The sequence below is a fragment of the Homo sapiens genome, chromosome 10, assembly GCF_000001405.40.
Source record: "Homo sapiens chromosome 10, GRCh38.p14 Primary Assembly".
Taxonomy (NCBI): Eukaryota; Metazoa; Chordata; class Mammalia; order Primates; family Hominidae; genus Homo; species Homo sapiens.
Window position 1 is genome coordinate 112367867 of NC_000010.11, and position 19822 is coordinate 112387688.

The window sequence follows — 19822 nt, forward strand, 5'->3', positions numbered from 1 at the left end:
ATCCCTTGTGACATTTCAGTAGCCGGGCCCTTTGAAGACAGGATAGCTGCTTGAAGCAGAGATGATCCTAAATGTGGTCCAAGGGTGGTCCCCAGAGCAGCAGCATCCGTATCACCTGGAATTGTTAGAAATGCAGATTCTTGGGCCCCAGATCAGACCTACGGAGTTAGAAATTCTAGCCAGAAATCTATGTTGTAACTAACAAGCCCTCCATGGGGATTGTGATGCTGAAGTTTGGGAACCACTGGCTTGGAGTATCTTACTCTCCAGTAAGTGTGGTATCAAAGGAGTTCAGTGGGTTGCTACTTAACACAACTGGACTCTAGTCCAGTCAAGTAGTTGTCACACCCCTAGTCCCCATTGAACTGTGTCTTCTTTAGCCACTTCTTAGAAGCCCTTTTCTTTCACATACTAAGGAAGGACTAAGACTCTAGCAAAAACGTGACCTTCAAGAGTTAATGAACAGACTGGGTGCAGTGGCTCATCCCTGTAATCCCAGCACCTTGGGAGGCCGAGGCGGGCAAATCACCTGAGGTCAGGAGTTTGAGACCAGCCTTGTGAACATATAGTGAAACTCCATCTCTACTTAAAAAATGCAAAACTTAGTCAAGCATGGTGGTGCACGCCTGTAGTCCCAGCTACTTGGGAGGCTGAGGCAGGAGAATCACTTGAACCCACAGGGCGGAGGTTGCAGTGAGCTGAGATCACACCACTGCACTCTGGCCTGCGTGACAGAGCAAAACTCCATCTCTTAAAAAAAAAAAATAGTTAGTGAACCAGGTTGGGTGCAGAGGCTCATGCCTATAATCCTAGCATTTTGGGAGGCTGCAGTGGGTGGATGACTTCAGCCCAAGAGTAAGAGGCTAGCCTGGGCAATATGGCAAAACCCATCTCTAGTAAACATTTTTAAATTAGGTATGGCGGTACATGCCTGTAGTCCCAGCTACTCTGGAGGCTGAGGTGGGAGGATAACCTGAGCCCAGAAGGTGGAAGTTGCAGTGAGCCGAGATTGCACCACTGCACTTAGCCTGGGTGACAGAGGAAGACCCTATGTCAAAAAAAGAAAAATCCTGTGTTTTGAAGAATCCAGGCCTCTGTGGCTCAGCAAACGTAGGTGGCTGGAGAGAGGACGGACCGTTACCTAAATGGTGTGGTGGCACTGACCTGTAGTCCCAGTGCTCAGGAGCCTAAGGTGGGAGGATTACCTGAGCCCAAGAAGTCAAGGCTGCAGTGAGCCATGATGTTGCTACTGCCTGAGTGACAGGAGTGAGACCCTGTCTTAAAAAAAAAAAAAAAAAAAAAAAACGGCCAGGCACAGTGGCTCACACCTGTAATCCTGGCACTTTGGAAGGCCGAGGCAGGCAGATCACTTGAGGTAAGGAGTTCAAGACTAGCCTGGCCAACATGGTGAAACCCCATCTCTACTAAAATACAAAAATCAACCAGGTGTGGTGGCACACATCTGTAGTCCTGGCTACTCCGGAGATTGAGGCAAGAGAATGTCTTGAACCCCAGGAGGCAGAGGTTGCAGTGAGCCAAGACAGACCTGCTGCACTCCAGCCTGGGCAACAGAGTGAGACTCCGTCTCAAAAAAAAAAAAAAAAAAAGTTAATGCACATGAGAATCTGACCTAAGAAGACTTCTATGTTAATATGCTAGTCTCTCCTCCACACAAGAGTCAACAGGAAGTGGTATTAGCTTCTGATTTTGGTATTGGTCACCTGACCAAATACAGTAAGTGAGAGGTGACAGCGTGCTGGCAGCCCTCACAGCCCTTGCTTGCTCTTGGCGCCTCCTCTGCCTTGGCTCCCACTTTGGCGGCACTTGAGGAGCCCTTCAGCCCGTGCTGCACTGTGGGAGCCCCTGCCTGGGCTGGCTGAGGCTGGAGCCGGCTCCCTCAGCTTGCGGGGAGGTGTGGAGGGAGAGGCGCGGGCAGGAACCGGGGCTGTACGCGGGGCTTGTGGGCCAGCGAGAGTTCCGGGTGGGCGTGGGCTCGGCAGGCCCCGCACTCAGACCAGCAGGCCTGCCCCGCTGGCCCCCGGCAGTGAGAGGCTTAGCACCTGGGCCAGCAGCTGCTGTGCTTGACTTCTCGCTGGGCCTTAGCTGCTGCCTCCCTGTGGGGCAGGGTTCGGGACCTGCAGCCTGCCATGCTTGAGCCTTCCCCCACCCAACCCCACCAGCCATGGGCTCCTGCACAGCCAGAGCCTCCCCGACGAGCACCGCCCCCTGCTCCACGTTGCCCCTTCCCATCGACCTTCCAAGTGAGAGGTGACAGCATGCTGGCAGCCCTCACAGCCCTCGCTCGCTCTGGGCACCTCCTCTGCCTGGGCTCCCACTTTGGCAGCACTTGAGGGGCCCTTCAGCCCACTGCTGCACTGTGGGAACCCCTTCCTGGGCTGGCTGAGGCCTGAGCCCGCTCCCTCAGCTTGTGGGGAGGTGTGGAGGGAGAGGCGTGGGCGGAACCGGGGCTGCGCATGGTGCTTGCGGGCCAGCCCGAGTTCCGGGTGGGTGTGGGCTCCGCGGGCCCTGCACTCAGAGCGGCCGGCTGGCCCTGCCGGCCCCAGGCAATGAGGGGCTTAGCACCCCGGCCAGCGGCTGCAGAGGGTGTGCTGGGTCCCCCAGCAGTGCCGGCCCACCAGTGCCGGCCCACCAGTGCTGTGCTGGATTTTTTGCCAGGCCTTAGCTGCCTCCCGGCGGGGCAGGGCTCAGGACCTGCAGCCCGCCATGCCTGAACCTCCCCCACCCTCCGTGGGCTCCTGTGTGGCCGGAGCCTCCCCGACAAGCACCGGCCCCTGCTCCACTGCGCCCAGTCCCATCAACCACCCCAAGGGCTGAGGAGTGCCGGCTCATGGCGCGGGACTGGCAGGCAGCTTCACCTGTGACCCAGTGCTGGATCCACTGGGTGAAGCCAGCTGGGCTCCTGACTGCTGGGGACTTGGAGAACCTTTATGTCTAGCTAAGGGATTGTAAATACACCAATCGGCACGGTGTATCTAGCTCAAGGTTTGTAAACACGCCAATCAGCACCCTGTGTCTAGCTCAGGGTTTGTGAATGCACCAATGGACACTCTGTATCTAGCTACTCTAGTGGGTACTTGGAGAACCTTTGTGTCCACACTCTGTATCTAGCTAATCTAGTGGGGACGTGGAGAACCTTTGTGTCTAGCTCAGGGATTGTAAACACACCAATCAGCACCCTGTTAAAACAGACCACTCAGCTCTCTGTAAAATGGACCAATCAGCAGGATGTGGGTGGGGCCAGATAAGGAAATAAAAGCAGGCTGCCCCAGCCAGCAGTGGCAACCTGCTGGGGTTCCCTTCCATGCTGTGGAAGCTTTGTTCTTTCGCTCTTTGCAATAAATCTTGCTACTGCTCACTCTTTGGGTCTACACTGCCTTTATGAGCTGTAACACTCACCACGAAGGTCTGCAGCTTCACTCCTGAAGCCAACAAGACCACGAACCCACCGGGAGGAACAAACAACTCCAGACGCCCCACCTTAAGGGCTGTAACACTCACCGCGAAGGTCCACAGCTTCACTCCTGAGCCAGTGAGATCACGAACCCACCAGAAGGAAGAAACTCCAAACACATCCGAACATCAGAAGGAACAAACTCCGGACACGCTGCCTTTAAGAACTGTAACACTCACCGCCAGGGTGTGCAGCTTCATTCTTGAAGTCAGTGAGACCAAGAACCCACCAATTCCAGACACACAAAGGCTGAGGAGTGTGGGCACACGGTGTGGGACTGGCAGCCAGCTCCACCTGTGGCCACGGTGCGGGATCGACTGGGTGAAGCCAGCTGGCCTCCTGAGTCTGGTGGGGACTTGGAGAACCTTTATGTCTAGCTAAGGGATTATAAATACACCAATCGGCACTCAGTATTTGGCTCAAGGTTTGGAAACACACCAATCAGCACCCTGTGTCTAGCTCAGGGTTTGTGAATGCACCAATGGACACTCTGTATCTAGCTACTCTGGTGGGGACTTGGAGAACCTTTATGTCTAGCTAAGGGATTGTAAATACACCAATGGGCACTCTGTATCTAGCTCAAGGTTTGTAAACACACCAATCAGCCCCCCGTGTCTAGCTCAGGGTTTGTGAATGCACCAATTGACACTCTGTATCTAGCTACTCTGGTAGGGACTTGGGTAACCTTTATGTCTAGCTAAGGGATTGTAAATACACCAATTGGCACTCTGTGTCTAGCTCAAGGTTTGTAAACCATTCAGCACCCTGGTCTAGCTCAGGGTTTGTGAATGCACCAATCGACACTCTGGATCTAGCTAATCTAGTGGGGACATGGAAAACTTTTGTGTCAACACTCTGTATCTAGCTAATCTAGTGGGGACATGGCGAACTTTTGTGTCTAGCTCAGGGATTGTAAACACACCAATCAGCACCCTGTCAAAACGGACCAATCAGCTCTCTGTAAAACAGACCAATCGGCTCTCTGTAAAATGGACCAATCAGTAGGATGTGGGTGGGGCCAGATAAAAGAATAAAAGCAGGCTGTCCGAGCCCGGAGTGGCAACCACCTGGGGTTCTTTTCACACTGTGGAAGGTTTGTTCTTTAGCTCTTTGCAATAAATCTTGCTACTGCTCACTCTTTGGGTCTACGCTGCTTTTATGAGCTGTAATGCTCACTGCAAAGGTCTGTAGCTTTACTCCTGAGCCAGCAAGACCACAAACCCACCAGAAGGAAGAAACTCTGAACACATCTGAACATCAGAAGGAACAAACTCTAGACACACCGCCTTTAAGAACTGTAACACTCACTGCGAGGGTCCGCGGCTTCATTCTGGTAGCTAAACATACACAGATCAATGGGGCAGCATAGGGGCCAAGGCACTGCAGGGGTTCTCATGACTCTGAGTCAGGTGCTGTCTTGACCGACTGGTTGTGTGATTCCAGAAGCCTTCTTTCACCTGAAAAGGCCTCACTGGCCTCACCTATACAGTAAGTTTGCACATCATCTCCAGGGTTTCTTTCATTTCTACCCACTGTTTTTGTTTAGTAATGATGCCTTGCAGTCCTAATGATCTTGGAATCAAGAATGGTGACTAGAGAACTTCAAAGTGGAAAGAGAGGCTGGGCATGGTGGCTCATGCCTATAATCCCAGCACTTCGGGAGGCCGAGGCAGGCAGATCACTTGAAGTCAGGAGTTCGAGACCAGCCTGGCCAACATGGTGAAACCCTGTCTCTGCTAAAAATACAAAAAAAAAAAAAAAAATTAGCCAGGCATTGTGGTGCATGCCTGTAATCCCAGCCACTCCAGAGGCTGAGGCAGGAGAATTGCTTGAACTCAGGAAGTGGAGGTTGCGGTGAGACTCCGTCTCAAAAAAAAAAAAAAAAAAAAAAAAGGAGAGAGTAGGATGGCTGAGCCATGACGCAGTAGCAATGCTTCTTTTTTTTTTTTTTTTTTTGAGACAGAGTCTCGCTGTGTCGCCCAGGCTGGAGTGCAGTGGCGCGATCTTGGCTCACTGCAAGCTCCACCTCCCGGGTTCACACCATTCTCCTGCCTCAGCCTCCCAAGTAGCTGGGACTACAGGGGCCCACCACCACGCCCGGCTAATTTTTTGTGTATTCAGTAGAGACGGGGTTTCACCGTGTTAGCCAGGAAGCAATGCTTCCTATTCTAGCGCCTTGCTAAACTATGTGTGCTGCAGACTGTGTTCGTGATTCCGAATCCTAAAAACAACCGTCCTAGGCTTGTCTCTCAGCCTAGACTCTAGACTGATTTGGCTCATTTGGTTGTCTTGGAGACGTTCTAATTCTGAAGGGGGCAGTGGTCCCTTCTAGAAGATAGCTGGTCTGCAAATGCACACCTCTGCTTAGTCTGAATCCTAAAGTTATAGCTTGAGCCAATTAAAGTGGCTTCTCATTTTTCTCTCACTCTGATCTCAAGGAGCCCTTTTTCTTCTAGTAATCTAGACCTTCCTCTTCCTATCACAGTCTCAAGGATTGTGCCCCCAAAGCAGATGCAAAGCCCTGTCTACCCCTTCTCCTTCCCCTGAGGTAGAGCTTTATCGAAGGTTTCTCTTGGTAAACGTTAGCTTTCTGAACTAAGGGCCGTCTTTTTTTTTTTTCCCGCTTAAGCCCATTGCATAACAATCTCTTGTTTTAATCTTTTGCCCAACACTGCTTTTCTTACTGTCAGAGGTTACTACAAGTGTTTGAACAGGTAACTTCTACCTTTGAACTTCTGTTGTGACAGATTCAAAGGTTCCAGGGGAGTGTGTTGGCCACTCTCAGGACAGTACACAGTAGCTTCGGGTGTGTCCCAGTCAGTCCTAGGAGCTGTGGAAAGAGTAGAAGTGCCTGAATGTGGTGCTGAATCAATACAGCCAGCTGTGAGGGGAGCACTTCCTGGACCCAGGAAGGGAGAGTCTTCTTCCAAGGTAAGCTGCAATGATACTACCTGCACTATATTGAATATATCTGTGAGATAGTAGGGAGGGGATTGGTGTGGGGAAAGAAAGTGGGATTTGTTATGCTCAACCTAAGGCTCTTTAATAACATGAAATTACATTTAGTTGAATAGTAATCTCAGCTGACTTGTGTGGGAGGCAAAGAAAAAAATCAGTTGGAAAAGGGGTGGAGATATATGAGCTATCCAAATGCTAGCAGGGGATGGAATTGGAAGGGAACACTGATTTTGGTAAGTGTACTAAAGCACACCAAGCCAGAATGTGGGTCTCCTTCATCTTCCATTAAGAAATTTCTGTCTCAGTGTAGTTAGAAGGATCGTGCGTCAGCTGCTGAGGGCAGAGAGTCCCATTTGGCAGACAGAGAGGAAGGGAATCAGCAGATATTCGATTAGGTGCTGGGGACTGTTCTGGGTAGATTATGTATGTTACTTCATTGGTGTATCTCATCCTATAAAGCAGGTGGTATCCTTCCCATTTCACAGAGGCATAGTGCGTCTCCAGGCTGTTAAACAGCATGGCCTAAGCTACATAGCTCCAAGGTGGTGTGGCTAGAATTTGAGACTTGATTGGTCAGTTTCCACAGCCTGCCCAATAATGCAGAATTGTTGTGGGTTGCCAAAGCTTTCAGTTACCCCCTGAAATCCTGAGGGTGTCACTCATGTGCACAGAGGATTGATAGGAATACAACTCTGATGGGCCTTTAGAATGACTCAACCTTCCTGAACTTGAGCATTTTTACTGGAGGAGGTCAATAAAAAAAAAAGAAATAAAACCTCATCTTCCCCTGGCCCTGAGCCCTTTGGTGAAGGAAGACAGCACCCGGTGAAGGGCTCAGAGGTATTAGTGTGGCTGAGATTCGACACCCACTCTGCCATCCTCTGCTCTCCTCTAGAGGAAGTTGCCTCTTGGGGAGCTGAGTTCCTGAAACTAAGCAAATGACAAGTGCTCCTCCAGCCGTGAGATGAGCCAGAGGATGGAATGCCACAGGCCCCACTTCGTCTCCCAGCCCTTCATCTTTCTTCCATGTCCAAAGGCGGCTCCCCAGAGGCCAAGGGCTCAGCTCTTGTGTTCTCTGAGACTGTGGCACAGCTCACCCTGGCTTCCTTAGTAGGAAGCTTTTAAGAACTGCTCTGTAGAAAGAACAAACCCTAATCTAGCTCCAGCAAAGAGCCAGGATCATGCTGAACTTCCTGTGAGCCTTCGTGGGGGATCGAGGCTGGAGAAAGTGCTGCTTCATTCTGAGGTATCTGTGAGGTGGGGAAGGGGCAGGAAAATTTGTCATTTCGGCTTCCTAATCTGAGAATGGTAGCTCCAGGGCCCCCCTGTAGCCACAGCCTTAGGCGGATCAAAAATGAGACTAATACAGGTCCTGGTAATACTGGGGGTGACCAAGGCGAAAGAATCGATTTTTAAGTTAAGTTTTGAGGTGTGACTGTATCAGAGGGAAAGAAACCATGCCAATTGAACGACTCACAGCCCTGTCGTTCCTGACTTGCTTATTTTCTTGGCTTTGCCAGAACTTCTTCAGAGACCAAGGCAGGCAGCTCTGGCGACTGGAGAGAGGCGGGGTAGAAGGTGTTTGTGTGGGTCTGAGGGCTGAGGTACCCTCTAGCCAGACTTTCCTGTCCTCCGAATCCAGCAGGGAACAGCGTCACCTCTGCCTCTGTGAGGCTTCTGATCTGAGGGGGCACCTCAAGTCATTTTAGTTTGTTTGTTTTCATCTTAGTTGAAAGATGATAGGCCACAGGAGGGCAGGGTCAACTGTGTTGAGGCAAGCTGGCTTTTGTGTCGGCCCTTAGGGGCTGAGGTGAAAGGCTTTGACACGGAGCCAGGGTAGCTTTGGCAGCTTCTCCCCTCCTGGTCAGAACACTTCCACTTTCAGTTGTGAAAAAAAAAATTAAAACCAGGAAGTGAAGTCCCCGAGCACGTTAGAAAGCCTGACATGGCCTGACTCGGGACAGCTCAGAGCAGGGCAGAACTGGGGACACTCTGGGCCGGCCTTCTGCCTGCATGGACGCTCTGAAGCCACCCTGTCTCTGGAGGAACCACGAGCGAGGGAAGAAGGACAGGGACTCGTGTGGCAGGAAGAACTCAGAGCCGGGAAGCCCCCATTCACTAGAAGCACTGAGAGATGCGGCCCCCTCGCAGGGTAAGGGGACCATCGAGGGGGTGTTATTCAGCAAGGGGGTCTTGTGAGGGTGTGACAGAGGCCAAGGGGGCATCCTGACCCCCGACTTTCTTTAAGCGACTTAGAATCAAGGGCCGGCTGAGTTCCACGGGCACATCATGCTGTCTCCCTCCTGGTCTCGGTCATGCCTTCAGACCCTGTGTCAGGAGGAGCAACGGGAAGGAAGGATGTGGGGCATGCATGGGGCTCACTTTCCTTCTCTCGACTCTCTTGGGGAAGGTGAACCAAAACAGAGACCTCTTTTTGTGGGTCTGAGCATCCAGCATAGCTCCCCTGAGGTGGGCTGGGGGTTTGCCCTCAATTTTATGTTGGGTAAGACTGATGAATGAGACCAATGGGGTGGGAGAGACAGATGAATGGAGCTGAGTGTATTTTAGGAAGTAAGGCCACAGGTTAAGTCTCAGGTGCTGCTTAATTCCTAAGTACTTCCTTCCCAATGCCCACTCCCTGAGGGTCCTAAGGTGAATCTCAAAGACCCTCAGGGAGTAAGCACTGGAAAGGGACTCTACCACTGGAGACCCTCAGGGAATAAGCACTGGAAAGGGACTCTACCACCGGAGACCCTCAGGGAATAAGCACTGGAAAGGGACTCTACCACCGGAGACCCTCAGGGAATAAGCACTGGAAAGGGACTCTACCACCGGGGCTTGGTACCTTCTGAGATATCAGCCTTTTTTTGGTGGTCTGAAAGGTAGAATTGAATCTATAGCTCCAATGTGTAGGTGATTAGTATTCTATATCAGAGGCAGAGTCTTAAAAAATAAAGTTAAGGCCGGGCGCAGTGACTCACACCTGTAATCCCAGAACTCTGGGAGTCTGAGGTGGGTGGATCACCTGAAGTCAGGAGTTAGAAACCAGCCTGGCCAACATGGCGAAACCCCATCTCTACTGAAAATACAAAAATTAGCTTGGCGTGGTGGCGTACGCCTGTAATCCCAGCAACTCAGGAGGCAGGACAATTGCTTGAACCTAGGAGGCGGAGGTTGCAGTGAGCCGAGATGGCACCACTGCACTCCAGTTTGGATGACAGAGCAAGACTCTGGCTCAAAAACAACACACAAACAAACAAATAAAAAAACATTGAAAACTGACTTAGTTTTCTTTTAAAAAAGGAGTAATTGGTTTTGTTTATTTCTCCCTTCATATTCTGATATGGAGTCACTCTGTGGTAGTCCCCTCCGATTGATCAGTATTCAAGGTTAAACACAGAACATGTCTTGAAAGAGGCATGGTGTAAAATTTTATAGCCATCTTTTGTGTATTTGGCATAATAAAAGGAACAAAAACCTAAATAAAACAAGAAGTGTAAGTGCAAATGCTTATAGGACAGGCAAGTAATATAGAGAAGTAAAGTAGATGGTGTGTAATAAGATGCTAATGGTGGAAACTTTAGCAAAATTCAGAGCAGGCATACCCCAGATAAATGCATTCAAATTTAATTATTAAAAAAGAGAAAACACTTTTTAATCCAGACCAAACAGAATATTTCAGCCTAGCCTGACCTAAAATAGTCTCTCCCAGGCTATATTGTAATTTTTTGAGGGCAAAGACACCAACAACAACATCAGCGTGTCATTGCATACCTAACCATCCACCTATAGTGAGACCACAGATACTACATGGAGGCTGGAGATGGAGGAAGGAGAGAGAAATGAATGGAGAGAGGGAAGATGAAGCCAGGGAAGTACCAGTACACAGTAGGTACTCTTATATTTAATCAAGACAATCTTCTTCTTCTTGTTTTTTTTTTTTTTTTTTTTTTTTTTTTTTTGGAGGAGCCTCACTCTGTCACCTAGACTCCCAGGCTTGAGTGCAGTGGCAACATCTTGGCTCACTGCAACCTCTGCCTCCCCAGTTCAAGCAATTCTCCTGCCTCAGCCTCCTGAGTAGCTGGGATTACAGGCATGCACCACCATGCCCAAATAATTTTTGTACTTTTAGTAGAGACAGGGTTTCACCATATTGGCCAGGCTGGTCTCAAACTCCTGACCTCAAGTTATCTGCCTGCCTAGGCCTCCCAAAGTGCTGGGATTACAGGTGTGAGCCACTGCACCTGGCCTATAGGATTTGCCAGCTTCTTAGAAACCAGGAATACAGTGTCTGCTCCTGTCTGTCTCTCATATGCCTCCTCAGCAGATGAGCAGACCCTCAGCTGGAGTGCAGTCAGAGGTGACTCTTGTGCCTGGCAGCATCAAGCAAGGGTGACGTAACCCCAGCAGCCATGAGTCCAGCCATCACTGCTTATCACATTCTGCTGGAAATGCATCTGGGTCTATTTCTCCCCTCTATGTCTGTACATCCTGAGGTCGGAAAGGGACTCTCTCACCAACTTGTCCTCCCTGGCGCAGGGCCTGACACTTCCTAGGTTCTCAACTCATTGTTTGAATAAATACATGAGATCTGGAGTTTGGAAGGTCAGACAGCCCGTGCAATGCTGTGGTCAGGCCACACTATTAGCCTTCTTTGGGGAAGCTGGTGGATCTCCCAGTCTTCATGGGCCATTCTATTCTAAGAGTTGTGAGGTTGCGAGTGGCTCAAGTTGAGGATTTGAGGTCTGGGGTAAAGCTAGGTCAGAGACAGGCCATGGTTCCCTACAACTAGAAGTGCTCTGTTTAAATAGAAATGAGGGCTTGTTGGCCGGGCGCAGTGGCTCATGCCAGTAATCCCAACACTTTGGGAGGCCGAGGCAGGCAGATCACTTGAAATCAGGAGTTTGAGACCAGCCTGGCCAACATGGTGAAACCCCATCTCTGCTAAAAATACAAAAGCTAGCTGGGCGTGGTGGCAGCTGCCTGTAATCCCAGCTACTCGGGAGGCTGAGGCAGGAGAATCGCTTGAACCCAGGAGGCGGAGGTTGCAGTGAGCTGAGATCTCGCCACTGCACTCCAGCCTGGGTGACAAGAGTGAAACTCCATCTCAAAAAAAAGAAAAAAAAAAAAAAGAGATGAGGGCTTGTTAAAACCTTTGCACAGAAGTGGAGGGGCAGTAATCGTTCAAGACCGTGGTCATCTCTTTTCTTTTGGGACATCTCGTAATAGAACATCTGATATTGGCAAGGATGTGAAAACTGAGGAAAAGGGAAGGAAAGGGGAGCTAGATTTGATTGAGGACTTCCCATGTGCCTGACAGCATACCAACTGTTCTACACACAGCATCTCCTTTAAGTAGCGATTTTCACCTGCTCCTTCTGTGTACAGTGGCGGGGAACTGATGCTCAGTGACTCTAAGTAACTGTCCCCAGGGCTACACATGTAGTAAGTGAGGAGCTGTTGCTCTGGTACCTGGAAGGGCACGACCTTGAAAGTTTGCCCCTGGCAATGACACCGTTGACAAGAAAGCTTGTTGCCTGCACTTTGAAACTGTTGACCCTTGACCACTGGTTGGGACAGGCAGTGCAAGGGCTGATTCTGCAGAAAACTAAGGCAAGAAGTCTGCTTTCCCAACCTCTTGCCTCACCCTGGCACAGGTGACAGGGTCCTAGCACTTTGTCCGGCCTATCTTTTTACAGACCCCCTTATCAGATCCAGTGGACTTCTGACACTGCTTCTTCTTACCCCAGTTCTGTCATAATATACTTGGTCAGCAGCAGGCCTGGGATGCCCTTTGGGGGTGTTACTGACACAAGTTGTCCCGGGGTCGGGATTTGGACTGTGACTCACTTGAAGCCCAGTGGTGGATCAAGGTTGACTCTATCGACCTGAGCTCCTGTGGGATTTGTCACTTCTGGGGTCACATCCTGTGGGTGACTCAACTATCCTATGCTATCTTAATGGACTGACTTAAGAGGCTCTTGGTATTTGACTTAACATGAGATCTCCTGATAAATGCTACTCAGCTCAACTGGCCAATGTCTGGCCCCACCCAGGCTCTCTGGAGTATGTGAAGGCAATGGCTCCAGAGGTGCAGTGTCTACACTGGGCCCCACACACCATCTCATTCATCCTTGGAGACTTTTTCTTCCCCCTGCCACCCCCCGCCCCCCAACCTTTTAACTAAAGATGGACCCTCCACCTCCAGCAGAAATACCTCTTCACCATTTCCCTCCCCTAAATGTCCCACTTGTCCCACTTTAGTGCCTCTAGCACATCTGGCCATTCCCCTTCTCCACTTCCATTTGGCTCCATCCAACCTAATGAGATGATTGGTCTCTCCGTGAAGAAAGTAGATAGAGAGACACAGACAACAGTTGAGAAAGATGGTTTGGTGGCAGGCCCACTGGTTGGAATCATAGTTGAGATCTTACTAGACATCAGCTTGATTGGTAGAATTGTCATCCTTTTTTGTTTTGTTTCTTAAGACAGGGTCACACTCTTGTCACTCTGCACATCCAGGCTCCCAGGCTGGAGTGCAGTGGCGGGATCATGGATCACTACAACCTCAACCTCCCAGGCTCAACAATCCTCCTACCTCATTCTCCTGAGTACCTGGGACTACAGGCATGCCCAACTAAATTTTTTATTTTTGTAAAGATGGGGTCCCACTATGTTGCTCAGGCTGGTCTCAAACTCCTGGCCTCAAACGATCCTCCAGCCTCAGCCTCCCAAAGTGCAGAGATTACAGGGATGGGCCATCATGTCTGGCCAGATCATCATCCTTGCCCCTGGAAAGAGACAATTGGCAATAAAGCCAGGGGGTCAAGGATCACACATCTTTGAGGTTCTAGTGTTCCATACAGCCGTCTTAATGTGCTCCAGTCTGCACTGACCTCTTCCTCCTTCAAAACCATGAGCTCACTGCACACACTGAAGCATTCTGTAAGAGTTTCTAGGACTAGATAGACCCATAAGTACCCAGATGGCAGGAACTATATCGGCCAAGTGTTCATCCCTCAGCACATGGCACAGTGCTGAACACACAGGTCCACAGTTTTTGTTTACTTTACTGAAAATAAACGTATAGGCTGGGTACAGTGGCTCACACTTGTAATCCCAGCACTTTGGGAGGCCAAGGCAGGTAGATCACTTGAAGTCAGAGTTCGAGACCAGCCTGGCCAACATGGTGAAACCCCCTCTACTAAAAATACAAAAATTAGCCGGATGTGATGATGCATGCTTGTTGTAATCCCAGCTACTCGGGAGGCTGAGGCAGGAGAATCGCTTGAGCCCTGGAGGCGGAGGTTGCAGTGAGCCAAGATCGTACCACTGCACTCCAGCCTGGGTGACAGAGTGAGACTGTCTCAAAAAAAAAAAAAAAAAAAGAGGCCGGGTGCGGTGGCTCACACCTGTAATCCCAGCACTTTGGGAGGTCGAGGTGGGTGGATCACGAGGTCAGGAGTTTGAGACCAGACTGGCCAATATGGTGAAACCTAGTCTCTACCAAAAATACAAAAATTAGCTGGGCGTGGTGGCACGTGCCTGTAGTCCCAGCTACTCAGGAGGCTGAGACAAAAGAATCGCTTGACTCCGTCTCAAAAAAAATAAAAAGTAAATGTGTAAATAAGTTAAAAGTGCAGAGAGTAAATGTATCCCTTGCCACACAGACACTTCTCCAGCCCACCAGGTGCTGCCAAAGCTGAGGTGCATCCCATAGAGCACTGGTCTCAAAAGCATCATGGCTGCCTGGGGAATTGGCTTTATCTTCTACTGGACCAGAAGTTCTGAGCATGCTTTCCTGTGCTAAACACACTGCCTGGCACACAGTAGGTGCTTGAATACCCAAATGGATACATTATGAGGGAACCCGCCCTCACTTAGGTCGGACTGCTTAGCGTTGCCCTTCTCATGGCATGAAGCCCCTGGCTGTGGCATTCCTGAGGAAGACTCCGCCGACCCTGTCCTGCTGTGTGCATAGAAGCATGTTCTGTTCCTTGTGGGATTGAACACTGCAAACTTTCCTTCAGCAGACTCTCCTCGCTAGTTGCCTTTCTCTCAAATTGTGCCAATGGTGAGTAAAAGGTGAAGGTGGCTTGGTAACAGCAGCTTCCCACTGTGTCTCAGGTGCCATGCTAGGTGCAGTGGAATCCACAGGTGAGGATGGTCACTATGTGCATGAGTGCTCACAGCACTGGGAGGCCTATTGACACACAGATCCATGAGTCCCAGGAAGCCTCACTGGGACCCAAACCCGAGGAAAGGGCTTATTCTGCTCCACCTCTTCTATCTCTTCTGAGCTCTGGCTCCTGTAGCTTTTCCTGTGCAATTCAGCAGCAAAGATTTTACCAGTGGAGCTGCATCGAACGCCCTAATGATTTATTTATGGTATGCTTGCCTGTGGCCCAGGACACCTGTCTGAAGCCTAGACTCTTAACCCTTTCTCTGCCAGCTGTCTTACACATTGGGACTGTTAGATGCTGTCTAGCAATTGGGCTTGGAAGAGAGATATGAGAGGTTATTATCACTTATCTTTTAAAAAATTACGTAAGCAATCGAATTGAATCTTTCCATGGTGTGGAAACTACTACTTAGCTACCACCTGGTGTTTTAACAGGGCTCCCTTTGGTAATGCTGTCTCCCTGCTCTGTCCACCACCTCTCGGCGGAGATGATAAGAAGGACCTTCCCCACTGGGTGCCATGGCTCATGCCTGTAATCCCAGAACTTTAGGAGGCTGAGGCAGGTGGATCGCTTCAGCCCAGGAGTTCAAGCCCAGGCTGGGCAACTTAGGGAGACCCCATCTCTACAAAAAACTTAAAAACAAAAAACAAAAAACAAAAGCCGAGTGTGGTTGTGCACACCTGTAGTCTCAGATACTTGTAAGGCTGAGGTGGGAGGATCACTTAAGCCTGGGAAGTTAACACTGCAGTGAGCTGAGCATGTTAGGATGGGGCTGCGATAGCGCCACTGCATTCCAGCCTGAGCAACAAAGCGAGACTCTGTCCCAAAATAAATATATAAATAAATAAAATAAGGCCCTTCCCATCTGCCTGGGGCCATGGCTATTATAAGACAATGGCTTGAGCAACTGGTGAATGGCTGGGAAGTTATCAGCAGGCTGTAGGTCAGGATCTCAGGCCATCCTTCCTTCTTAGCTACTTGGAATGAATATTGAAAGACACAGTTTCAGGGCCCCTCGGCCCTGTGACTCAGCCTTCACCTTTGCTCTGGTTTCTTATCGGTTAGAGAAATGGATGAAAAAGGTTTCCACCCACAGAGCTGCTGTCCAGCTGGATTACTCAGTGGCTGAGAAGCATTTTACACAACATGAGGGCTTGGAAGAGGCTGTGTGTCAAATGTAGTTTTGGTAGCGGGAGAGCCACACTTGTAGAAACAAAGCTGAGGTGTACACTTAGGTGCATTCACATGAAATGCCACCAACCAAGGTGGTAGAACTTTCTAAATTAGCTGCCTGTGTTGGAGGTGGGATTATATGGAGCTGTTCATTTTATTCTTTTTTTTTGTAAGTGTGCATATTTCAGATTAAACAGTACACATCAAGTGTTACCTTCCCACTGAGACTACGCTACGCCTCCCTAATTAAAACTCATCCACCAGGCGCGGTGGTTCATGCCTGTAATCCCAGCACTTTGGGAGGCTTGAGGCAGGTGGATCACTTGAGACCAGGAGCTCAAGACCAGCCTGGACAACATGGCGAAATCCTGTCTCTACTAAAAATACAAAAATTAGCCAGGCACACACCTGTAATCCCAGCTACTTGGGAGGCTGAGGCATGAGAATCGCTTGAACCCAGGAGGCAGAGGTTGCAGTGAGCCGAGATCACACCACTGCATTCCAGCCTGGGCAACAGAGCAAGACTCTGTCTCAGAAAAAAAAACAAAAAACAAAAATCTCATCCCCCTGCTGTACCCCCAGTTCTCTTTCCCTACTCTTGTTGTTTTTGTTGTTCCGTAGTCCTAAGTAACCTAGTTATTGCTCAGGCTTGTTGTCAAACTCCCCAATATAATGCAATCTCACGAGGGCAGGGTTTTCCCTGCTATATCCCCAGCACCTGGAACAATGCAACATATACAGCCAAGCCCTTCAATAGCTTTTGGCTGAATGATGGAGTAGACAAGACTTTCAAGAAATCCAGTCATGATTTCTCCTCTTCCATCTGTCTTTTTCTTGTTTTTTTGTTTTGTTTTGTTTTGTTGTTTTGTTTTTGAGACAGAGTCTTGCTCTGTTGCCCTGGCTGGAGCGCAGTAGCACAATTACAGCTCACTGCAGCCTTGACCTCCCTGGCTCAAGCGATCCTCCCACCTCAGGCTCCCAGGTAGTGGGGACTACCGGCATGCACCGCCAAGCGAGGCTAATTTTTGTATTTTTTGTAGAGACAGGTCCTCACCGTGTTCCCCAGACTCAAACTCCTGGTCTCAAACTCCTGGGCTCAAGCAATATATCCACCTCAGCCTTCCAAAGTACTGGGATTATAGGTGTGAGACACTGCACCCGACCTCCATCTCTCTTTTTCTATGAGGATTGTCTTTTCAGAAACACAAATGCGTATATAATTCATTGTAATTGAGAAGATAATGTACACACTGTCCAAATATTTTTTTCTTTCTCCCTGGCAGTACATCATGAGCTCTTTTCATATCATTACCTACAGATCGACTTTCTTTTTTAAAATACCTGCCCAGAATTCCATTGTGTGGAAGTACTGTAATTTGTTTCATTCTTCTCCTATCAAGGAAGGCTTTCCTAGGCTTTTGGATTAGAAACAATTCTACAGCTTTAAAGGTGATAAATATAATAGTTAATACATGAACCTGCGTGCCAGCCATGGTTCTAAGCACTTTATATATCCATTAACTCTTTTAATCATGGTGACAGCCTTAGAAAGGAGATGCCATTACTGCCATTTTATAGATGAGAAACCACAGAGAATTAAGTTATCTGCCCCAGGTCACAAAGAAAATGACCAAGAAGAGCTTGAGCCCAACTAGTCTGAGCCAACATTCTTAACCTGTACTTTACATGTCATTTGTGATGTAGTTTATTGATCTGATGTCTTTCTATGAGATAAGCTGATGGTAGAATTACTAGGTGAAAGGGCATACATTTTATGATGTGTAGAGGGCAATAGGGACTTCTTTAAGAGACAGCGTCAAATGTACATTTCCACAATTCACGTTGCATTTCTCACCGTTTCATCACTGGAATCTGATGCACGAGGAAAAGGCATGTCATTTAAATCTGCATTCTTAAGAACTATAAGCAAAGTTGAATGTCTTTCCCTAATTGTAAATAACTTGCTTGTTTTGCTGTGAACTTTCAGCAAGCTCTGCCCTTGCTTTATTGGGTTATATTTTGTTTTTCATTGTTGTCTGAGTTTCTTATTAAAGAAATTAACTCTTAGCCTATCTGAGGGGGTTGATACTTTTTCCTCAACGTGTCTTTGTCTCTGGTATCTTTTCTGCGGGAAAATTTTTATTTTTATATAATCAAACTTGCCAACATTTCTGTTTATAGATTTTAGGTGTTATGTCTGTCTTGAGTCTTCCCCATGCCAAATTATAAGAGAAAATCTCTCCATACTTTTTCACCCCAACCATTCTTATTGTTTTCATTGTTTTATACTTAAGTCTTTGACCTATCTTCAGCTTATTTTTGTTGTAGGAGTAAGAGAGTAGACAGCTTAATGTATTCTCTCTGAATGGCTAGCCAGTTGTCTCAGTACGTTTATTTTAAGTGAAAAAATACCTATTTTGATTTGAAATGCAATTTAGTACATGATAATAGCATCTACTGGGCATGTTTCAGGATGATTTTATTAAATAGGTTTGTCTATTCATGACCAATAGAAAACTCCTATAGCTCTTTTTTTTTTTTTTTTTTTTTTTTTTTTTTGAGGCAGAGTCTGGCTCTGTTGCCCATGCTGGAGTGCAGTGGTGCAATCTCGGCTCACTGCGATCTCCACCTCCTGGGTTCAAGCAATTCTCCTGCCTCAGCCTCCCTAGTAGCTGGGATTATAAGCGCACGCCACCATGCCAAGCTAATTTTTGTATTTTGAGTAGAGACAGGGTTTCACCATGTTGGCCAGGCTGGTCTTGAACTCCTGACCTCAAGTGACCCGCCCGCCTCGGCCTTCCAAAGTGCTGGGATTACAGGCATAAGCCACTGTGTCTGGCCAGAAAACTCCTATAGCTCTATAGTAAGTATTTAAATTTGGTAATGATTGCTGGTCTGCCACCTACCCAATTCCTGCTATTTTTCAAAATTGTTTCACTCTTTGTTAAGTTTTATTTTTTTCTGGATGTACTTTAGAATTAGCATTTTAGTTCCTAAGAAAGCCTTCATTAGGGTTGCATTAAATGTATAGATACCTTTAAGGTGACAGGAACCTTGAATATTTCAGGTATGTCTTTCCATTTTTCTAGCCTTCTTAGGTACTTCAGATCTAAACTTTTAAAATATAGGTTTTACGCATTTATTCTTATATACACTATTGTGAATAGCATCTTTTTCATGACTTCTAAATCAGTTATTTGTATAAAATATAGGAAAGCTATTAACTCTCTGCATACCAATTTTAGTAACTGGCCACCTCCAAATTATCTCAGTAATTATAAAACTGAAACATACTAGTTACCTCTTATTTCCTTAGAGGGTTTTTAGAATTTCTCCTCTCAGCTCTTTTTTTAAATTTTGTTTTGTTTTTTAATTGGGAGATATGACCACAGATTTTTATGTCAGATCTGAATGTTGACCCCTTGGATTTTGAATCATTTTAAATAGCTTGGGTAGCTGAGAATAGCTTCCCTTGGGGGACAATCTACTGGGCTTTTTCCATATGATGCTTTTCTTTGACTGAGTTTTGTGAAGCAAGATCATTGTCTCAAATCACCTCATCTGTCATATCCCTAGTAGAAGAAAACTACTTATGATACAGAAAAGCAAACTAGTTTAAGAAATGATTTTTTAAAAGCCCTTCATCCCAGGGCTCTGAGGAAATTGGGTGAAGGATCTTGCAACAGAACACACACCTGGTTCACGTTCATAGCATATAAAGGAAAAGGTTATCAGCTCTTTCCAGGTATGCTCATGATGCTAATGGTTTGTAATTTCATACTGGCCTTTTGTCATTACTTTTGGGTTTGTCTAGAAATACTGACTCTGTAGTCAAGGACTGAGAGAGAGGTTTCCTAGGTTGAGGGTGGCAGGAATGTAGGAAAAATGATTTTAGAAGCTGGGTTAGAAATGGAAATCCCAGCTCAAAAAGCAAAACTTTCATATACAGCCTCGTAAATAACACACAGTTCCCTTTGGAGTCATTATAAGTTGTAAAGACTTTTGACATAGTCTCTAGGAGAGAGTAGGTAATTCC

The 19822-nt window shown here is 47.9% G+C and overlaps 1 protein-coding gene across 4 annotated transcripts in view, besides 5 other annotated features; it reads left to right on the forward strand.

Annotated features, from left to right (window-relative positions):
* Window positions 1–6249: 6249 nt before the first annotated feature.
* ACSL5 (acyl-CoA synthetase long chain family member 5) overlaps window positions 6250–19822 on the forward strand; it is a 54261-nt gene continuing 40688 nt past the window's right edge. For 2 of the 4 annotated variants that reach the window (NM_016234.4, NM_001387037.1), the window contains exon 1: window positions 8339–8582. In NM_016234.4, coding sequence (NP_057318.2) covers window positions 8444–8582 — 139 coding nt within the window. In that variant the 5' untranslated portion in view covers window positions 8339–8443. Of the gene's footprint in view, window positions 6404–7401; window positions 7677–8338; window positions 8583–19822 lie in introns of those variants that run through there. The other 2 variants (NM_203379.2, NM_203380.2) reach the window with 2 other exon arrangements.
* Window positions 7951–8100: an enhancer, noted in NCBI's record as "active region_4063". NCBI's record gives its function as "activates an Ori minimal core promoter by ATAC-STARR-seq in GM12878 lymphoblastoid cells {active_cell/tissue: GM12878}" and the evidence as "EXISTENCE:reporter gene assay evidence [ECO:0000049][PMID:35858748]".
* Window positions 7951–8482: a biological region, named in NCBI's record as "H3K4me1 hESC enhancer GRCh37_chr10:114135606-114136106".
* Window positions 7982–8482: an enhancer, noted in NCBI's record as "H3K4me1 hESC enhancer chr10:114135606-114136106 (GRCh37/hg19 assembly coordinates)". NCBI's record gives its function as "activates a minimal SCP1, AML or CMV promoter by ChIP-STARR-seq in naive H9 embryonic stem cells {active_cell/tissue: H9 hESC(naive)}" and the evidence as "EXISTENCE:reporter gene assay evidence [ECO:0000049][PMID:30033119]".
* Window positions 8241–8460: an enhancer, noted in NCBI's record as "active region_4064". NCBI's record gives its function as "activates an Ori minimal core promoter by ATAC-STARR-seq in GM12878 lymphoblastoid cells {active_cell/tissue: GM12878}" and the evidence as "EXISTENCE:reporter gene assay evidence [ECO:0000049][PMID:35858748]".
* Window positions 8483–8983: an enhancer, noted in NCBI's record as "H3K4me1 hESC enhancer chr10:114136107-114136607 (GRCh37/hg19 assembly coordinates)". NCBI's record gives its function as "activates a minimal SCP1, AML or CMV promoter by ChIP-STARR-seq in naive H9 embryonic stem cells {active_cell/tissue: H9 hESC(naive)}" and the evidence as "EXISTENCE:reporter gene assay evidence [ECO:0000049][PMID:30033119]".